The sequence below is a fragment of the Homo sapiens genome, chromosome 14, assembly GCF_000001405.40.
Source record: "Homo sapiens chromosome 14, GRCh38.p14 Primary Assembly".
NCBI lineage: Eukaryota > Metazoa > Chordata > Mammalia > Primates > Hominidae > Homo > Homo sapiens.
Window position 1 is genome coordinate 67045268 of NC_000014.9, and position 19193 is coordinate 67064460.

A 19193-nucleotide genomic window follows, 5' to 3' on the forward strand; every position below is an offset into this window, starting at 1 on the left:
AGCCCCTTGTGGAACAACTGGCTCTTTGAAAAACATCCCAGAAGTTGTTTCAGCTTTTTGCTATGAGGCCTAAGCCTGAGGCCTAAGACGCTCTCTGTCTCTTTTTCTCTATCTCTGTCTCCCTCTCTGTCTCTCTCTCTGTGTCTCTCTCTCTTGTCTTTCTGTCTTTGTCTCTCTCTGTCTCTGTCTCTCTCTGTCTCTGTTTCTCTGTCTCTCTGTGTGTGTCTGTCTTTGTCTTTCTCTGTCTGTCTCTCTCTGTGTATTTGTCTCTCTGTGTGTGTCTCTCTCTGTCTCTCTGTCTCCCCCTCTGTCTCAGTGTCTGTCTGTCTCTCTGTCTCTGTCTGTGTCTCTGTCTCTCTCCATCTGTCCATCTCTCTCTGCCTCTGTCTCTCTCTCTCTGTCTCTCCCTCTCTTGGTCTCAGTGTCTCTCTCTGTCTCTGTCTCTCTCTCTCTGTCTGTCTCTCTCTCTCTGTCCATCTCTCTGTCTCTGTCTCTCTTTCTCTGTCACTGTCTCTCTCTCTGTGCATCTGTCTCTTTCTCTCTCTGTGTGTGTGTCTCTCTCTCTGTCTCTCTCCTTTCCTCTCTTTCTTTTTAAAATAAGTTCAGGTAGATCTAATTCATTTTCAAGGCCTGAATTCTTAACTTTAGAAACCCCAGATTTGATCTACATACAGAATCCTGTACAGAACTGGCAAGTTGGTTTCTGGACTTGGATACCTCATAGATATTACATATTAATAGAGACCCAACCCTAAAATCTGGGTTTGCTTCTCCCTTGACTCAGCTGTGACCCAGACATTCTATCTCGATTTTTTTTTAAAGGAAGAATTTATTTAAATCATTTTTATATTTAGTATATATTCATAAATTCTTATTTTATTTTATTAAATAGATTAAAATATGTTACTGTTCTAATTTATGTTGATGATAAATTTGTATCAGATTTAGCCAAAGGGAGCTCTTCAATCTTGTTCCAAGATCCTTTTGACATGTTCCTATCATTATTTGAGCACTTTCTTACTGAAAACAGTTGTGAAGGAAGAGTTGTAATTTCCCAGGAAAATAAAAGGATGAGAGAAAAATTACTCTAGGCAGAAACAGCATCATATGCTATGGCAGAAAACTATGAAATAGTACAGTGTATTCTGATATCTACAATATTATCAATTTTCTGAGTGATGGAATAATGAGAGATGAGACTGAAAGGAAAGCAAATAAGGGTTTTATATACTATTCTAAGGAACTGAAATTTTATCCTGTAAGTGATAATCAACTATTGATATAAATTATGAAGCTAACATTTTGGGACAGCAATGCCTATTTTATCATCTTTATGTACAGAAATCTCAGGAGAACTTCCATATTTTTTAATCAGCCCTAGTAAATAATAATTCTTTCAGCTATGCTTTTTTGGTTTTGTCAGAAATGCTTTGAGGCTCATTGTCTTGAATAAGCAAGTAGAAAAGTTGTAAAACTATTAGATTGAAGACAATATGAAAATTATTTTCAGATGTACAAAGTGCCCTGTAGTCCTGAGCCTACAAACTCTACCATTGCCAGTGTTTCCCTAGAGCTTTGGAACCACTTTCTCCTAATTGGAGAGAGTTATATGAAAGTCTAAATGCTTTGTATATCTGAACACACATTCTTTAAATTACCAAGGACCCTAACTATTTAAGCTGACCATATTACTATTACCTATCTTTGCTCTTTAAGTTTCCTAGGAAAGCTATTCCTTATCTTAGGCGGTTTGCTCTTCAGAAAGATCCAGGAAATAGAAATACAAGGAATTGAAGCTGCAAATACCATGTGGAATAGAGGCAGTAATATTAATAGGAACAGAACAAGTCTCCTGATATTTGCAGTATATCCAAAAAATGAATAATGATTTACACTTTATGTAGTTTAGGGAGCTTTTCTACTGCTTGTTTTGAAAAATGAAGTTTCTTGAGGTTCTGAATTTAATCAAGAAGGACCTGCATGAACATCAGAACATCTTGTTTCTGCTATGTTCTCTCCTATGATCAAAGGCATCTTTTCTTCATTTATTTTGTGTGTGTGTGTGTTTGTGTGTGTGTGTGTGTGTGTGTGTGTGTTTGTTTTTTTTTTTTTTTTTGAGACAGAGTCTCACTCTGTTGCCCAGGCTGGAGTGCAGTGGTGCAATCTCGGCTCACTGCAACCTCTGCCTCCCGGATTCAAGGAATTCTCGTGCCTCAGCCTTCTGAGTAGCTGGGACTACAGGCTCCTGACACCATGCATGACTAATTTTTTGTATTTTAACAGTAATGGGGTTTCACCATGTTACCCAGAGTGGTCTCAAACTCCTGAGTTCAGGCAGTCCACCTGTGTCAGCCTCCCAAAGTGTTAGGATTACAGACATGAGCCATTGCACCCGACCCATTTCCTTTTCATTTTAAAAATGGATTTTCAGGGAAGGCCGGTCATGGTGGCTCACACCTGTAATCCTAACACTTTGGGAGGCCAGGGGTTTGAAACCAGTCTGAGCAACATAGGGAGACCCCATCTGTGCAAAACATCAGAAAATTAGCCAGGTATGGTGGTGTGCACCTGTGGTGCCAGCTACTCGATGGGGTGAGACAGGAGGATCATTTGAGCCAGCAGGTCAAAGTTGCAGTGAGCCGTGATCACGCAACTGCACTCCAGCCTGAGCAACAAAGCCAGACCCTGTCTCAAAACCAAGATGAAACATTGTATATTAAGAACTGACTGGTTTAAGAGGATGCATTTTAACTGAGAAAAATAATTTCATTGGTATAAATAGCTCCATTTCAAGATGACCACACCACAAAAAAAGGTTACTGATAGATAACAAAGATCCATATTGTTACTCTGCTCAGTAGAAAGGAATCCATTTGTACTTTCTGTGACCCTTTGGAGGCTTTCTACATCATAGATAGTGTCATTAGTATTTAACCATGTCTTTGATGATGACAATCCTGAGTGAACCCCTATTCATTTTGCGCTGAGTTCTTACATAGTCTTTTCAGTGATTATAACTGTACCATGGAGGATAGGAAATCTCACTAACATTTTTATTACTTCCTCTGCAAAAATTCTGAACTAAAATATAGTCAACCTCATCTCTGGACTAAACTGGAAAATGTAAGAGACAAGTTAAGTTGTACTTATGGAACTGTAGGCTCATTAGAGAAACCTGTAGCATCAATTTGTGCCCACTTTAGAATAGCTTTAATCCTACAAATCTACTTAAGAAAAGTAAACCCATTGCAGGGGAATGCTGTCAGTTTAGATGTTATAATAATTCAGTCTGTCACTCTTAGCTCCTTAGCTCAGTTCAGACAGCTATAGTGGGGAAGATGTCTAGACTCCCTCCCCTACCTCTGCCCCAACTCTCAAATAAAAATCCTATATCCTAAAGAACCTTGTAGTTTATTTTTACCAAACAAGCTAGTCTACCTGCAAATTAACAGTAACAGTGATATCACCAGGTAATTTTAATATTGTAAATTAAAGTGAGTATTCTCTTGAATGCTATGATCTTCTCAGTGGGACATGTATTTTCACATGTTTTGTAATACATATGAGTTTAATAAAGCTAATGCCCTCGCAGATTCTCTTTGTGACCATTAGTAATCATTTGTAAGGTAGCTATCAGAATATATTTGTGGCCATGAAATAGTTTTGCTTCATAGGAAACTATTTTTTCTATCCAAAAGTAAAACTTATTTTTCATTATAACCTTACCTTTTTTAAAATGTTTCATTCCTTCCTTTCCTGTTTCTGCCTAAAGGGGTTTTATGGGCTACCGGCTGCTAGGTGATAACTCACTGGGGCCTTCAAGAGGAAAAAGTGCATACTTTTTTCTCAATTTTTTTTTCTCTTCTAACAAACTTCTGTTCTACAGTCACAATCAACAAGAGAAACAATCAACATTTTTTGGTCCTTTTTCCTGCTGATTAAGTTTGTTGTTGTTGTTGTTGTTGTTGTTGTTGTTTTGAGAGAGAGTCTCACCGTGTCGCCCAGGCTGGAGTGCAGTGGCACCATCTCGGCTCACTGCAAGCTCCGCCTCCCGGGTTCACGCCTTTCTCCTGCCTCAGCCTCCGGAGTAGCTGGGACTACAGGCGCCCGCCACCACACCCGGCTAATTTTTTTGTATTTTTAGTAGAGACGGGGTTTCACCGTGTTAGCCAGGATGTTTTCTAATGGCCCAAGACAGTAAGAGGTGCTTTGGGTTTGTAATTTACAAAATAAGAGAAGTCTGTGACAACTTTTTTTTTTTTTTGAGACAGAGTCTCGCTCTGTTGCCAGGCTGGAGTGCAGGGGCGTGATCTCAGCTCACTGCAACCTCCGCCTCCTGGGTTCAAGCAATTCTTCTGCCTCAGCCTCCCGAGTAGCTGGGACTACAGGCATGCGCCACCACGACCAGCTAATTTTTGTATTTTTAGTAGAGACGGGGTTTCACCATGTTGGCCAGGATGGTCTTGATCATTTGACCTCGTGATCCGCCCACCTCAGCCTCCCAAAGTGCTGGGATTACAGGCGTGAGCCACCGCGCCCGGCTGAAGTAGGTTTTTTTATTGGCGAAGTAGCTAATTACTGTATAATTTGGGGTGAGTCTTGAGTGGGAAGAAGCCTCGTGGCACATAAAAAGGTGCTTAATTGATATTGAAAACACACGCACGCACACACATGCATGCACACACAACCCTACCTGCTGATGTGCCAGAGAATTACAATACTCCTCCTTTGAGACATTGCTTTTAGTTAATTTGTTATATATCCAAAGGTCCTTGTGTTAACATGCAAATAGTTTAACCAAGGACCGGTATCAATCCAATAGCACCACAGTATGTTAATTTCTTCAATTAAGTTATTCCACAATGTATGCATATCTCAAAACATCATGGTATACACCATGCATATATAAAATTTTTGCCAATTAAAAATAAATTTTAAATAAAATGTTTATACTATAGGTCTATAAAAAAGTACAAATTATTTTTCCGGTGAGGTAATCACTTTATGACAAAGACTTTATAAATATTCAGTGGCTTAGAGAAGTAAAATGACAGCAGAAAGCACTGCTTTACTTTTTGCTTCCCAATTTTGGACTTTGTTTGAAAGATTTGCCATTCATTAAATACCCCAAGTATTTACTGAGTATCTACTATAAGTGTAAGGAAGGCACTATTCTAAAAGTGACAGAGAATACAAAGATTAATAAGACATAGGCTCTGTCTTCAATGAGTTTACCATCTACTAGCAGAGGTAAGGCAAATATTTAAATATCTATAGCATAAGATGGAGAGTGATAGATACCAGAAGACAAATATAAACAAGGTATAACATTACTTTAGTGATGGAAGAGATTATTCCTGCCAGTAGATAACCATACTGCAATTTCCAAACAACAAGAAAAAAAAACAAGGAGGGGCCAAGATGACCAACTAAAAACAGCTACGGTTGGAGGCTCCCACGTAGAAGAATGAAAACAGCGAGTAAATCCTATGCCAGCAACTTGAGGTATCCAGGTTCTCTCACTAGGACTGACCAGGCAGTTGGTGCAACCCATGGTAAGTGAGGAAAAGCAGAGTGGAGTGACAGCCAACCCAGGATCCACACAGGGGAAGGGGAACTCCCACTCCCAGCCAAGGGAGGTAGTGAGTGATTGTGCTACCCCGCCTGGGGAACCATGCTTTTTCCATGGATCTGTGCAACCCACAGATCAGGAGATTCCCCTCATAAGTCCACACCACCCAGGCCTTGGTTCCCAAGCACAGAACTGTGCAGATTCTTGGCAGCCGCTCAGGTGGAGACTGCCTAAGACAACCAAGTTCCTAGGGGAGGGGGCGGCTGCCATCACTGCAGCTGCCTGCTGCCAGAGATGACTGAGCTCCCAGTGGGAGGAGTGGCTGCCATCACTGCAACTGCCTGCTGCCAAGACAACTGAGCTCCTGCGGGGAGAGACGGCTGCCATCACTGCAGCTCCAGTCTGCCAGTTTAGAGAGGAAAATAAATAACCTGATGGAGCTGAAAAACACAACACAAGAACTTCATAATACAACCACAAGTATCAATAGCTGGATAGACCAAGGGAAGGAAGGAATTTCGGAGCTTGAAGACTATCTTGCTGAAATAAGACAGGCAGACAAGATTAGAGAAAAAAGAATGAAAAGGAATGAACAAAACCTCTGAGAACTATGGGATTATGTAAAAAGACCAAACCTACAACTGATTGGGGTACCTGAAAGAGATGGGAGAATGGAACCAAGTTGGAAAACGTACATCAGGATATCATCCAGAACTTCCCCAACCTAGCAAGATAGGCCAACATTCAAATTCAGGAAATCCAGAGAACCACAGTAAGATACTCCATGAGAAGAAAGGTCATCCCCAAGACACATAATCATCAGATTCTCCAAAGTAAAAATGAAGGGAAAGTATTAAGGGCAGCCAGAGAAAAAGGCCAGGTTACCTATAAAGGGAAGCCCATCAGACTAACAGTGGACCTCTCAGCAGAAACCCTACAAGCCAGAAGAGATTGGGGGCCAATATTCAGTATCCTTAAAAGAAAGAATTTCCAACCCAGAATTTCATAACCAGCCAAACTAAACTTCGTAAAGTGAAGGAAAAATAAAATCCTTTTCAGAAAAACAAATACTGAGGGAATTTGTCACCACCAGGCCTGCCTTGCAGGAGCTCCTGAGAGAAGCACTAAATATGGAAAGAAAAAACCAATACCTGCCACTACAAACACACACTAAAGTACACAGACCAATGACGCTTCGAAGCAACTACATCAACAAGTCTGCAAAATAACCAGCTAGCATCATGATGACAGGATCAAATTCACAAATATATTAACCTTAAATGTAAATGAGCTAAATGCCTCCAGTTGAAAGACACAGAATGGCAAGCTGGATAAAGAGTCAAGACCCATCAATGTGCTGTATTAAAGAGACCCATCTCATGTGCAAAGACACACATAGGCTCAAAATAAAGAGATGGAGGAAATTTTACCAAGCAAATAGCAGAGAAAACCAGGGGTTGCAATCCTAGTGTTAAAGTCTTACAAAACAGACATTAAACCAAAAAAAAAAAAAGATCAAAAAAGACAAGGGCATTACATAACGGTAAAGGGCTCAATTCAACAAGAAGTGCTAACTATCCTAAATATACAGGAGGACCTAGATTCATAAAACAAGTTCTTAGAGACCTACAAAGAGACTTAGACTCCCACACAATAATAGTGGGAGGCTTTAATACTGCACTGTCAATATTAGATCACTGAGACAAAAAATTAACAAAGATATTCAGGACCCAAACTCAACTCTGGATCAAGTGGACCTGACAGATATCTACAGAACTCTCCACCCAAAAACAACAGAATATATATTCTTCTTTGTGCCATATGGCACTTACTCCTAAAAAGATTGCATAATTGGAAGTAAAACACTCCTAACAAATGCCAAACAACTGAAATCAGAAGAAACAGTCTCTCAGACCACAGTGCAATAAAATTAGAACTCAAGGTTAAGAAACTCACTCAAAACCACACAACTACATGGAAATTAAGCAACCTGCCCCTGAATGACTCCTGGATAAATAACGAAATCAAGGCAGAAATCAAGAAGTTCTTTGAAACCAATGAGAATAAAGAGACATCATGCCAGAACCTCTGGGACGCAGCCAAAGCAGCGTTAAGAGGGCAAGTTATAGCACTAAATGCCCACATCAGAAAGTTAAAAGATCTCAAATTGACGTCCTAATATCAAAATTAAAAGAACTAGAGAACCAAGAGCAAAAAAGAAAAAAAAAAGGCCAAAGCTAGCAGAAGACAAGAAATAACCAAGATCAGAGCAGAACTGAAGGAGATAGAGACACGAAAAACCTTAAAAAAAATCAATGAATCTAGGAGCTGGTTTGTTTTTTTTTTTTTTGGAAAAAAAAATTAATAAAATAGACTACTAGCTAGACTAATAAGGAAAGAGAGAAGAATCAAATAGACACAATAAAAAATGATAAAGGGGATATCACCACTGACCCCACAGAAATATGAACAACCATCAGAGAATACTATAAACACCTCTATGCAAATAAACTAGAAAATCTAGAAGAAATGGATAAATTCCTAGACACACACACCCTCGCAAGACAGAACCAGGAAGAAGTTGAATCTCTGAATAGACAATAACAAGTTCTGAAATTGAGGCAGTAATTAATAGCCTACCAACCAAAAAAAGCCCAGGACCAGATGGATTCACAGCCGAATTCTACGAGAGGTACAAAGAGGAGCTGGTACCATTTCTTCTGAAACTATTCTAAACAACTGAAAAGGAGGGACTCCTCTCTGACTCATTTTATGAGGCCAGCATCATCCTGATATCAAAACCTGGCAGAGATACAACAAAAAAAGAAAACTTCAGGCCAATATCCCTGATGATCATTGATGCAAAAATTCTCAATAAAATACTGACAAACCGAATCCAGCAGCACATCAAAAAGCTTATCCACATGATCAAGACAGCTTCATCCCCAAGATACAAGGCTGGTTCAACATATGCAAATCAATAAACGAGATTTATCACATAAACAGAACTAAACACAAAAACCGCATGATTATCTCAATAGACACAGAAAAGGCCTTTGATAAAATTCAACTTCCCTTCATGTTAAAAACTTTCAATAAACTAGGTATTGTTGGAACATACCTCAAAATATAAGAGCAATTTATGACAAACCCACAGCCAATATCATACTGAATGGGAAAAAGCTCAAAGCATTCCCCTTGAAAATCAGCACAAGACAAGGATGCCTTCTCTCACCACTCCTATTCAACATAGAATTGGAAATTCTGGCCAGGGCAATCAGGCAAGAGAAAGAAATAAAGCATATTCAGATAGGAAGAGAGGAAGTCAAGCCATCTGTTTGCAGATGACATACTCCTATATCTGAAAACCCCATCATCTCAGCCCCAAAGCTTCTTAAGCTGATAAGCACCTTCAGCAAAGTACAAAATCAATGTGCAAAAATCACAAGCATTCCTATACACCAGCAGTAGACAAGCAGGAAGCCAAATCATGAATGAATTCCCTTTCACAGTTGCTAAAAAGAGAAAAAATACCTAGGAATACAGCTAACAAGGGAAGTGAAGGACCTCTTCAAGGAGAACTACAAACTGCTGCTCAAGGAAATCAGAGAGCACACAAACAAATGGAAAAACATTCCACGCTCATGGATGGGAAGAATCAATATCATGAAAATGGCCATACTGCCCAGAGTAATTTATAGATTCAATGCTGTTCCCATTAAACTACCCTTGACATTTTTCACAGAATTAGAAAAAAACTACTTTAAAGTTCATATGGAACCAAAAAAGAGCCTATATAATGAAGACAATCCTAAGCAAAAAGAACAAAGCTGAAGGCATCACATATCTGACTTCAAACTCAACTACAAGGCTATAGTAACCAAAATAGATGGTAGTAGTACAAAAACAGACACATAGACCAGTGGAACAGAATATAGAAGTCAAAACTAAGACTGCACATCTACAGCCATGTGATCTTCAACAAACCTGACAAAAGCAATGGGGAAAGGATTTGCTATTTAATAAATGGTGCTGGGAGAACTGGCTAGCCATATGCAGAAAATTGAAACCGGACCCTTTCCTTATACCTTATACAAAAGTTAAGTCAAGATGGATTAAATATTTAAATGTAAAACCCAAAACTGTAAAAATCCTAGAAGAAAATCTAGGCAATACCATTCAGGACATAGATACGGACAAAGATTTCGTGACAAAAACGTCAAAAGCAATTGCAACAAAAGCAAAAATTGACAAATGAGATCTAATTAAAGAGCTTCTGCACAGCAAAAGAAACTGTCATCAGAGTGAAGAGACAAACTACAGAATGGGAGAAAATTATTGCAATCTATCCCTCAGACAAAGGTCTAATATCCAGAATCTACAAGAAAAAAATAACCCCATTTAAAAGTGGGCAAAGGATATGTACAGACACTTCTCAAGAGAAGATATACATGCAGCCAACAAACATGGAAAAAAGCTCAACATCACTGATCATTAGAGAAATGCAAATCAAAAACACAATGAGATACCATCTCAGGCCAGTCAGAATGGCAATTATTAAAAAGTCAAGAAACAACAGATGCTGGCAAGGCTGTGGAGAAATGGGAACTCTTTTACACTGTTGGTAGTTCAACCATTGTGGAAGACAGTGTGGTGATTCCTCAAAGACCTAGAACTAGATATACCATTTGATCCAGCAATCCCATTACTGGGTATATACCCAAAGGAATATAAATCATTCCTTTGTAAAGATACATGCATGCGTATGCTCATTGCAGCATTTATTCACAATAGCAAAGACGTGGAATCAACCCAAACGCCTATCAATGATAGACTGGATAAAGAAAATGTGGTACCTATGTGTCCAGAATTGGTGAGTTCTTGGTCTCGCTGACTTCAAGAATGAAGCCGCGGACCCTCGCAGTGAGTGTTACAGTTCTTAAAGATGGTGTGTCCGGAGTTTGTTCCTTCAGATGTTCAGATGTGTCCAGAATTTCTTCCTTCTGGTGGGTTCGTGATCTCACTGACTTCAGGAGTGAAGCTGCAGACCTTCACAGTGAGTGTCACAGCTCTTAAAGGTGGCACGGCTGGAGTTGTTCATTCCTTCCAGTGGGTTCGTGGTCTTGCTGGCTTCAGGAGTGAAGCTGCAGACCTTCACCGTGAGTGTTACAGCTCTTAAAGGCAGCACGGACCCAAAGAGTGAGCAGCAGCAAGATTTATTGTGAAGAGTGAAAGAACAAAGCTTCCACAGCATGGAGGGGGACCCCAGCAGGTTGCTGCTGCTGGCTTGGGCAGCCTGCTTTTATTCCCTTATCTGACCTCACCCACATCCTGCCAATTGGCCCATTTTACAGAGAGCTGATTGGTCCGTTTTCACAGGTTGCTGATTGGTGCGTTTACAAACCTTGAGCTAGACACAGAGTGCTGATTGGTGCATTTACAATCCTTTAGCTAGACACAAAAGTTCTCCAAGTCCCCACTAGATTAGCTAGACACAGAGCACTGATTGGTGCATTTACAAACCTTGAGCAAGACGCAGAGCACTGATTGGTGCATTTATAAACCTTGAGCTAGACACAGAGTGCTGATTGGTGTGTTTATAATCCTTTAGCTAGACACAGAGTGCTGATTGGTGGATGTACAATCCGCTAGCTAGACATAAAAGTTCTCTAAGTCCCCACCAGATTAGCTAGATACAGAGCGCTGATTGGTGCATCCACAAACCCGAGCTAGACACAGAGTGCTGATTGGTGCATATACAATCCTCCAGCTAGACATAAAAGTTCTCCAAGTCCCCACCAGACTCAGGAGCCCAGCTGGCTTCACCTAGTGGATCACACGCCAGGGCCGTGGGTGGAGCTGCCCACCAGACCCACACCACGTGCCCACACTCAGCCCTTGGGCAGTCCATGGGACTGGGCGCTGTGGAGCAGGGGGTGGCACCTGTCGTGGCAGGAGCCCACAGTGGGGGTGGGGGGGGGTCACTCAGGCATGGCGGGCTGCAGGTCCTGAGCCCTGCCCCGCAAGGAGGCGGCTGAGGCCCAGCGAGAATTCGAGCGGGCGCTCGCGGGTCGGCAATGCTGGGAGACCCAGCACACCCTCCGCAGCTGCTGGCCTGGGGGCTAAGCCCCTCACTGCAGGGCCCGCCGTACCCACGCCCACCCAGAACTCGTGCTGGCCCGCAAGTGCCACCCACAGCCCCAGTTCCCACCCACGCCTCTCCCTCCACACCTCCCTGCAAGCAGAGGGAGCCGGCTCTGGCCTCGGCCAGCCCAGAGAGGGGTTCCCACAGTGCAGCGGCAGGCTGAAGGGCTTAAGTGCAGCCAGAGTGGACGTGAGGCCAAGGAGGTGCCAAGAGTGAGTGGGGGCTGCTAGCATATTGTCACCTCTCACCTATACACCATGGAATGCTATGCAGCCGTAAAAAGGAATGAGATCATGTCCTTTGCAGGGACAGGGAGGGAGCTGGAAGCCATTATCCTCAGTAAACTAACACAGGAACAGAAAACCAAACACTGCATGTTCTCACTTAAAGTGGGAGTTGAACAACAAGAACACATGGGCACATGGGTGGGGGGGGCAACAGCACACACTGGGTCCTGTCAGAGGGTTGCAGGGAAGGAGAGCATCAGAAAGAATAGCTGGGCCTAATACCTAGGTAATGGATTGATCCGTGCAGCAAACCACCATGGCACAAGTTTACCTATGTAACAAACCTGCACATCCTGCACATGTATCCTGGAACAGTAAATAAAATAAGTAAAATAAAAAAATAAAACTTAACAGAACCATCAGGTGGTTTACTACCCTCTTTTTCTTTCTCCTTCTTTTCTTGCTTCCTTCCTTCCTTCCTCTTTCTCTTTCTTGTTCTCTTTCTCTTTCTTTCATTTTCTTACCTTTCTGCTGGACTGTTACATTCTTCATGGCAGGATATATTTTACTGTCAGTATCCCAAGTCCCTAACTGTTTCTGGTTCATAAAATGCAGTCAGTAAATATTTGTTGAATGGGTATGTGTATCACTGATCATCAAACTTGCTGTTTAATAAGAAAATGCCTATTACAAAGCATATTCAACAGATAAAACCTATGTAACTAAAAAGTAGAATTTTCTTCTCAGAAACTAAACATATTTTTAAAAGAAACTTTTGTAAGATTATATCCAGTTTGCACCATAAAGTGCAGCCTATCACAAAAAAAAACTGTCTGATCTGAGACCTATAAAGCTGAATAAGAAGCAGAAGCAGCAATATCATTCTGCCTAGTTACACTGGTTGTGAATGATTTTTTTATATTTGAATGAGTAGGTCAAGACCTCAATGAAAATGAGTTATAAATAAGTTTATATTTCAATCCTTTTTTAAGTGTTCACCCACAATTTGAATAGAAAATTCTGTCTAGCAATAAATAATCTCTAAGGTTTTTCAAACTTTGAAAATTTTGCGATTTTGATTGACCATGAGAAGAAATCACATATTAATAGTATAAGCAACTTTGTATATATTTTTCTTAGGTGCCTATGACAATGTCATTAGTCTTAGAATGAAAACCCTTTGGGGTAGTGCCTTTAAGTCAGTTCATTGAACATGTCTGGAGCAGCCACTGGGTTTTGACACATGATGTAACATTGCTAACTTGATTTAATGTTCCACCAGAGCAGGCTGTATTTTGGAGGCAGGAGAAACAGTTTCTTACCTGCTAATCTTCATCTGGGGACATTTGAAATTGGGAGTTGTGATATTATAAGTCATTGCCACTTTTTAATCAGTGTTACAGCATCATATTCTTAGTTAATTATCTTACTGTTTAGGTCACAGTGCTGTCGATATCACCAAGGTGGCTAGAAGACATCGCATGTCTCCTTTTCCTCTGACATCTATGGACAAAGCCTTTATCACAGTCCTGGAGATGACTCCGGTGCTTGGGACAGAAATCATCAATTACCGAGGTACTATTATATTTGACCATTGCCCTTTCTTTTCTTCATTTTTTTCCAAATAAGATTCATGTAACATTAATGCACAGTTTTCCTGAAAAAGAAAGATTATTAACCATTATTACAGTTATCATCATTCTTTTTTTTTCTTATTTCTACTCAATAAGAAAAAGGCTAAGGGTTCAGCCTTAACAGTATACAGAGTAAAATCCATGAAACTGCCTTTTCATTAAAAAAAGGAAAAAAAAAAAAAAAGGAAGAAAATCAGCTGTGTTTCTGCTGTCCATGAAAATACCAATACTGCAAACTAAAGAAAGGGTTCTCAGCACTGAGTGAGGAAAGTAGTTAACTCTGAGTCTGTATGATGTCCTTTCTGTCAGAAATGGGAGACAACTAATATGTCTTGTAATCATCTTTTTCTGTTTGGAAAACCTGTATTTAAATGTAAAAATGTAAAAAAAAATATTAATTTATCCATGGATACTAAGACAACGGAAAGGTAGCATTCCCCAGTATTTTGTTTTTAATTAACAACTTCCATTTCTAAAAATTCAGCATAGGAGTTGTATTTAGGCATCCAGTTCCAGGAGACCAGGCTCCTGAGGAGAACTTCCAGCCAATAAAGCTTGTGGTTTCTCCCCAACACCAAAAAGAGAAGTTGTATTTAGTGCAATTTGAATAAAATATAGTTTCTTAATTTGTTATGCAGAAACAACACAACAGAATTAATTTTATAAATAAAAAACTTTATAGAATCATAAAATATTCAAACTACAATGAACAGTAGAGAGCACAAACACCCTAATTTTTTTGTCAAGGAAACTCAAACTCAGAATAGCAGAAAATGAATAGGATTAAGGTCTCAAGATTTACATTCTTCCTTTTACTACATAATTGTGCTCTTCTTCAACCATTAAATTATAAAAAATAATGGCAGCTAACTTACTGGTGCCAGATTTTAGCTCTTTCGTCTGTGTCCCCACTTAGACAAGGATTGTTATTATACAGTTTGCCCTTATCCTACGTCTTTGGTTCACATTCTTTTAGATATGCATATCATTAGGCTTAAATCGTTTGTTTTTCTTTTACTCCTCAATAAAGGAAAGATTAGAAAACTCACTAGAGTAGGGGATTAGTCAGGAATTAACTATGTGATTTCAGAACAATTTTAATGGAATAGTTTTGTTTATTATTAAAGGTAGAATGTTGAGATATTTATTGGTATCAGTAGAAACCAAGACATTTTCAGAAAATATGAATGTAAACTTAAGTTATAAAAAAATTAATAATACTTTACCTGTTATAAAAATAAATAAACCATCCCTGGTTTTTTCTTTTTTATAATTTCAGAGGAGTTTCCCTTAACATCAGTCCTTAGAAAAATCTCACCATGTATTCCAGGTCACATTTAAAGAGACATTCTAATTTAAAAAAAAAAAAAAAAGAGTTGGAAATTGCCATTTCATTTTTCCTCCAGAGAAAAATGCTGTCATATGTATTCTCTTTTCCCTTCATGTGCTTGTTTCCCATTCATTTGTTCATCAAATCAGTTGTCACTTGTACTTGAGCAGACTCTTCATAGATGGATAACTTTTTGTCAAGTGTTTCCACCTATGATGATGAAAAATAATAATGAGGTTCACATTAAACCTTTGAATTGGATCAAACTCAATTTTTTGTGCAAATGGGTATTGTAATTAGACCCCCTAGGCACTTTGATTAGGTGTTTAGAAACCATCATACATAGAAACTTAATTTACTTTGTTCAACAAATATTTAATAAACATCAAGTAAATGTCAGATACTATGTTAAGTCCTGTATTTGCAAAGATGAATAAAAATAAAACTCCTGCCCCATGGATTTCATAGGCTAGTGCAGAAGAGATGGGTAAATTAATGTGGTACTTGTCTCCTTTAATTGGCTCCTTTACAGGCTTGCCTTCCTTTGTCAATTCCTTGAAAAGCTTTCTTTACAGTTTTTTTTCTTTGGCTCTTTTCACATCTTGTCCATTGACTTCAGATGGCCTCATGCAGGCTAGTAGTTTCAGATACCATTTATAAAGTGAATTGTAAGTCTATACCATTGCCCAGAGCTTGTCCAAGCTCCAAACTCATATTCTAAATGTATTATGTATCTGCTGCCAGTAAATATAACATGACAAATACTAAACTTATTTTGTCGACAATACTTGTTTTTCTACATCCTCTTAAAACTGTCCCTTGTTCTACATTCCCTCTGTTACTGTTTTAGTTTAGGTGTTTTTTTTCTTTTTTTTATTTTTCTGAGATGGAGTTTTGCTCTTGTTGCCCAGTCTGGAGTGCAATGGCACGATCTCGGTTCACGGCAACCTCCACTTCCCAGGTTCAAGTGATTCTCCTGCCTCAGCCTCCTGAGTACCTGGGATTACAGGCATGCACCACTATGCCCAGCTAATTTTGTATTTTTAGTAGAGATGGGGTTTCTCCATGTTGGTCAGGCTGGTCTCGAACTCCCAGTCTCAGGTGATCCACCCACCTCGACCTCTCAAAGTGCTCACAGGAGTGAGCCAATGCGCCTGGCCCAGTTTAGGTCTTTATTATTAACTTCCTGGACAATTGTTATAGGCTCCCCTCCCCCCAGTTAACATCTTCCCAATCCGTTCTCCAATTTGATGCCAAAGTAATCTGTTCAAATTTGCTAATTCGTTATTAACACTCCCTACACGCAACTCTTCAGCAGTTTTTTCATAACCTCAAGATAAAATTCAAACTCCTTAACATGTCATGAAAGGCCCTTTATAATCTGATTTCTTCTAATATTTTTGTTTCTTCTCTTACCTCCTTATCATCAGACCTTGCTTCTCCCTAAACCTGACATGATGATTCTTACTTCTTATTCTCTCTTACCTCTAAGGCTTTATTTATATATCCTTTTTTTTTAAGAGACTAGGTCTCACTATGTTTCCCAGGCTGGCCCTCAACTCTCAGCCTCAAGCGATCCTCTCGCCTTAGCCTCCCAAAGTACTAGTATTACAGGCATAAGCCACCATGCCTGGCCCCTTTGCTTATATAGTTTTTGCTTGGAAAAACTTTATCTTACTTCTCTACATATTAACTACTGCCTAACTACCACATATTCTTTAAGATCAAGCTTAAGATGCTTCTCCTTTATGAAGAAGTCTTTCCTGATGTCTGCTTCCCCCTTTCCCTAGCTGAGTTAAACACTCTTCATTCGTGTTCCCATAGCACCTTCTTCATATGTTTTGTAAGACAACTGACTGAAATATTTGTTCACTATTAATTTTAAATGCCCTAATAAATAACATGGATATAAAAAAAAAGCAGAGTTCTGTAAGTGTGAATCACTGTAAATTGAATTGTCATAAGTAAAATAAAGCCTAGAAAAAAAGGTAGAAGTTCATTCTCACTACACTTTAGAATATTTTCTTTACCAAGTGTATTTGCGTTTTAATGAGCAAACCTTTATAGTTTGTTTTGATTTCAGCTAGATGTACCTCTAAACTATTTAATATCATTCATTAATCACTGAGTAGGAAAAAGTATTTGGGGGAACCAAAAGGCCTTCACATTCTATGAAATTACAAATACTTTGCCTCTGCAAACACTCTAACACCTGCAATCACAGAAGCCCTTAGAGGAAAGCCAGTGTTTTGTAAGGAAAATCTAGGACCAACTGAATCCATGCATTTGAAGCTGTGACATCTCTAAAATGATTTTTATATGTCTAAGAAGGTTCAATAATAATCCCAGAAAACTAAGGACTTAACATGTAGAGAAAATGCTGAAAGTGATTGTTGTGAAGGTCATAGACACAGGGAACTCTATGAAGGAATTTCAGAGTATAGTACATGAAACACTTTAGATATAATAGTAAGACTAAGAGGGTAACTTGAGATCAAATGAGCATTTTTTCTTGTGTCTGTTGGCTGCATAAATGTCTTCTTTTGAGAAGTGTCTGTTCATATCCTTTGCCCACTTTTTGATGGGTTGTTTGGTTTTTTTCTTGTAAATTTGTTTAAGTTCTTTTAGTAGATTCTGGATATTAGCCCTTTGTCAGATGGGCAGATTGCAAAAATTTTCTCCCATTCTGTAGGTTGCCTATTCACTCTGATGGTAGTTTCTTTTACCGTGCAGAAAGTTCTTTAGTTTAATTAGATCCCATTCATCAATTTTGCTTTTGTTGCCATTGCTTTTTGTGCTTTAGTCATGAAGTCCTTGCCCATGCCTATGTCCTGAATGGTATTGCCTAGGTTTTCTTCTAGGATTTTTATGGTTTTAGGTCTAACATTTAAGTCTTTAATCCATCTTGAATTAATTTTTGTATAAGGTATAAGGAAGATCCAGTTTCAGCTTTCCAGTTTCAGCTTTCTACATATGCCTAGCCAGTTTTCCCAGCACCATTTATTAAATAGGGAATCCTTTCCCATTTCTTGTTTTTGTCAGGATTGTCAAAGATCAGATGGTTGTAGATGGGTGGTGTTATTTCTGAGGCCTCTGTTCTGTTCCATTGGTCTATATATCTGTTTTGGTACTAGTACCATGCTGTTTTGGTTACTGTAGCCTTGTAGTGTAGTTTGAAGTCTGGTAGTGTGATGCTTCCAGCTTTGTTATTTTTGCTTAGGATTGTCTTGGCAATGAGAGCTCTTTTTTGGTTCCATGTGAGCTTTAAAGTAGCCTTTTCCAATTCTGTGAAGAAAGTCATTGGTAGCTTGATGGGGTTGGCATTGAATCTATAAATTACCTTGGGCAGTATGGCCATTTTCATGATATTGATTCTTCTATCCATGAGCATGGAATGTTCTTCCATTTGTTTGTGTCCTCTTTTATTTCATTGAGCAGTAATTTGTAGTTCTCCTTGAAGAGGTCCTTCACATCCCTTGTAAATTGGATTCCTAGGTATTTTATTCTCTTTGTATCAATTGTGAATGGGAGTTCACTCGTGATTTGGCTCTCCATGTGTCTGTTATTGGTGTATAGGAATGCTTGTGATTTTTGCAGGTTGATTTTGTATCTTGAGACTTTGCTGAAGTTGCTTATCAGCTTAAGGAGATTTTGGGCTGAGACGATGGAGTTTTCTAAATAGACAATCATGTCATCTGCAAACAGAGACAATTTGACTTCCTCTTTTCCTAATTGAATACCTTTTATTTCTTTCTTTTGCCTGATTGTCCCTGGCCAGAACTTCCAACACCATGTTGAATAGGAGTGGTGAGAGAAGACATCCTTGTGTTGTGCTGGTTTTCAAAGGGAATGCTTCCAGTTTTTGCCCATTCAGTATGATATTGGCTGTGGGTTTGTCATAAATAGCTCTTATTATTTTGAGATGCATTCCATCAATACCTAGTTTATTGAGAGTTTTTAGCATGAAGGGCTGTTGAGTTTTGTCGAAGGCCTTTTCTGCATCTATTGAGATAATCATGTGGTTTTTGTCATTGGTTTGGTTTATGTGATGGATTACGTTTATTGATTTGCATTTTTTGAACCAGCCTTTCATCTCAGGGATGAAGCCGACTTGATCGTGGTGGATAAGCTTTTCGATGGGCTGCCGGATTCGGTTTGCCAGTATTTTATTGAGGATTTTTGCATCGATGTTCTTCAGGGATATTGGTCTAAAATTCTCTTTTTTTGTTGTGTCTCTGCCAGGTTTTGGTATCAAGATGATGCTAGCCTCATAAAATGAGTTAGG

General features: G+C 39.2%; 1 protein-coding gene across 23 annotated transcripts in view, besides 1 other annotated feature; it reads left to right on the plus strand.

The window, feature by feature from the left end:
• GPHN (gephyrin) overlaps nt 1–19193 on the plus strand; it is a 1227209-nt gene that overhangs the window by 537121 nt on the left and 670895 nt on the right. For all 23 annotated transcript variants that reach the window (XM_047430879.1, XM_011536340.4, XM_017020913.3 and 20 more), the window contains one exon: nt 13382–13519. In XM_047430879.1, coding sequence (XP_047286835.1) covers nt 13382–13519 — 138 coding nt within the window. The remainder of the gene's footprint in view (nt 1–13381; nt 13520–19193) is intronic.
• Nucleotides 4552–4721: an enhancer, noted in NCBI's record as "experimental_36114 CRE fragment used in MPRA reporter constructs". NCBI's record gives its function as "activates a minimal promoter by MPRAs in K562 erythroleukemia cells, with activity observed for both the introgressed and non-introgressed 14:67516621 variant alleles {active_cell/tissue: K562}" and the evidence as "EXISTENCE:reporter gene assay evidence [ECO:0000049][PMID:34662402]".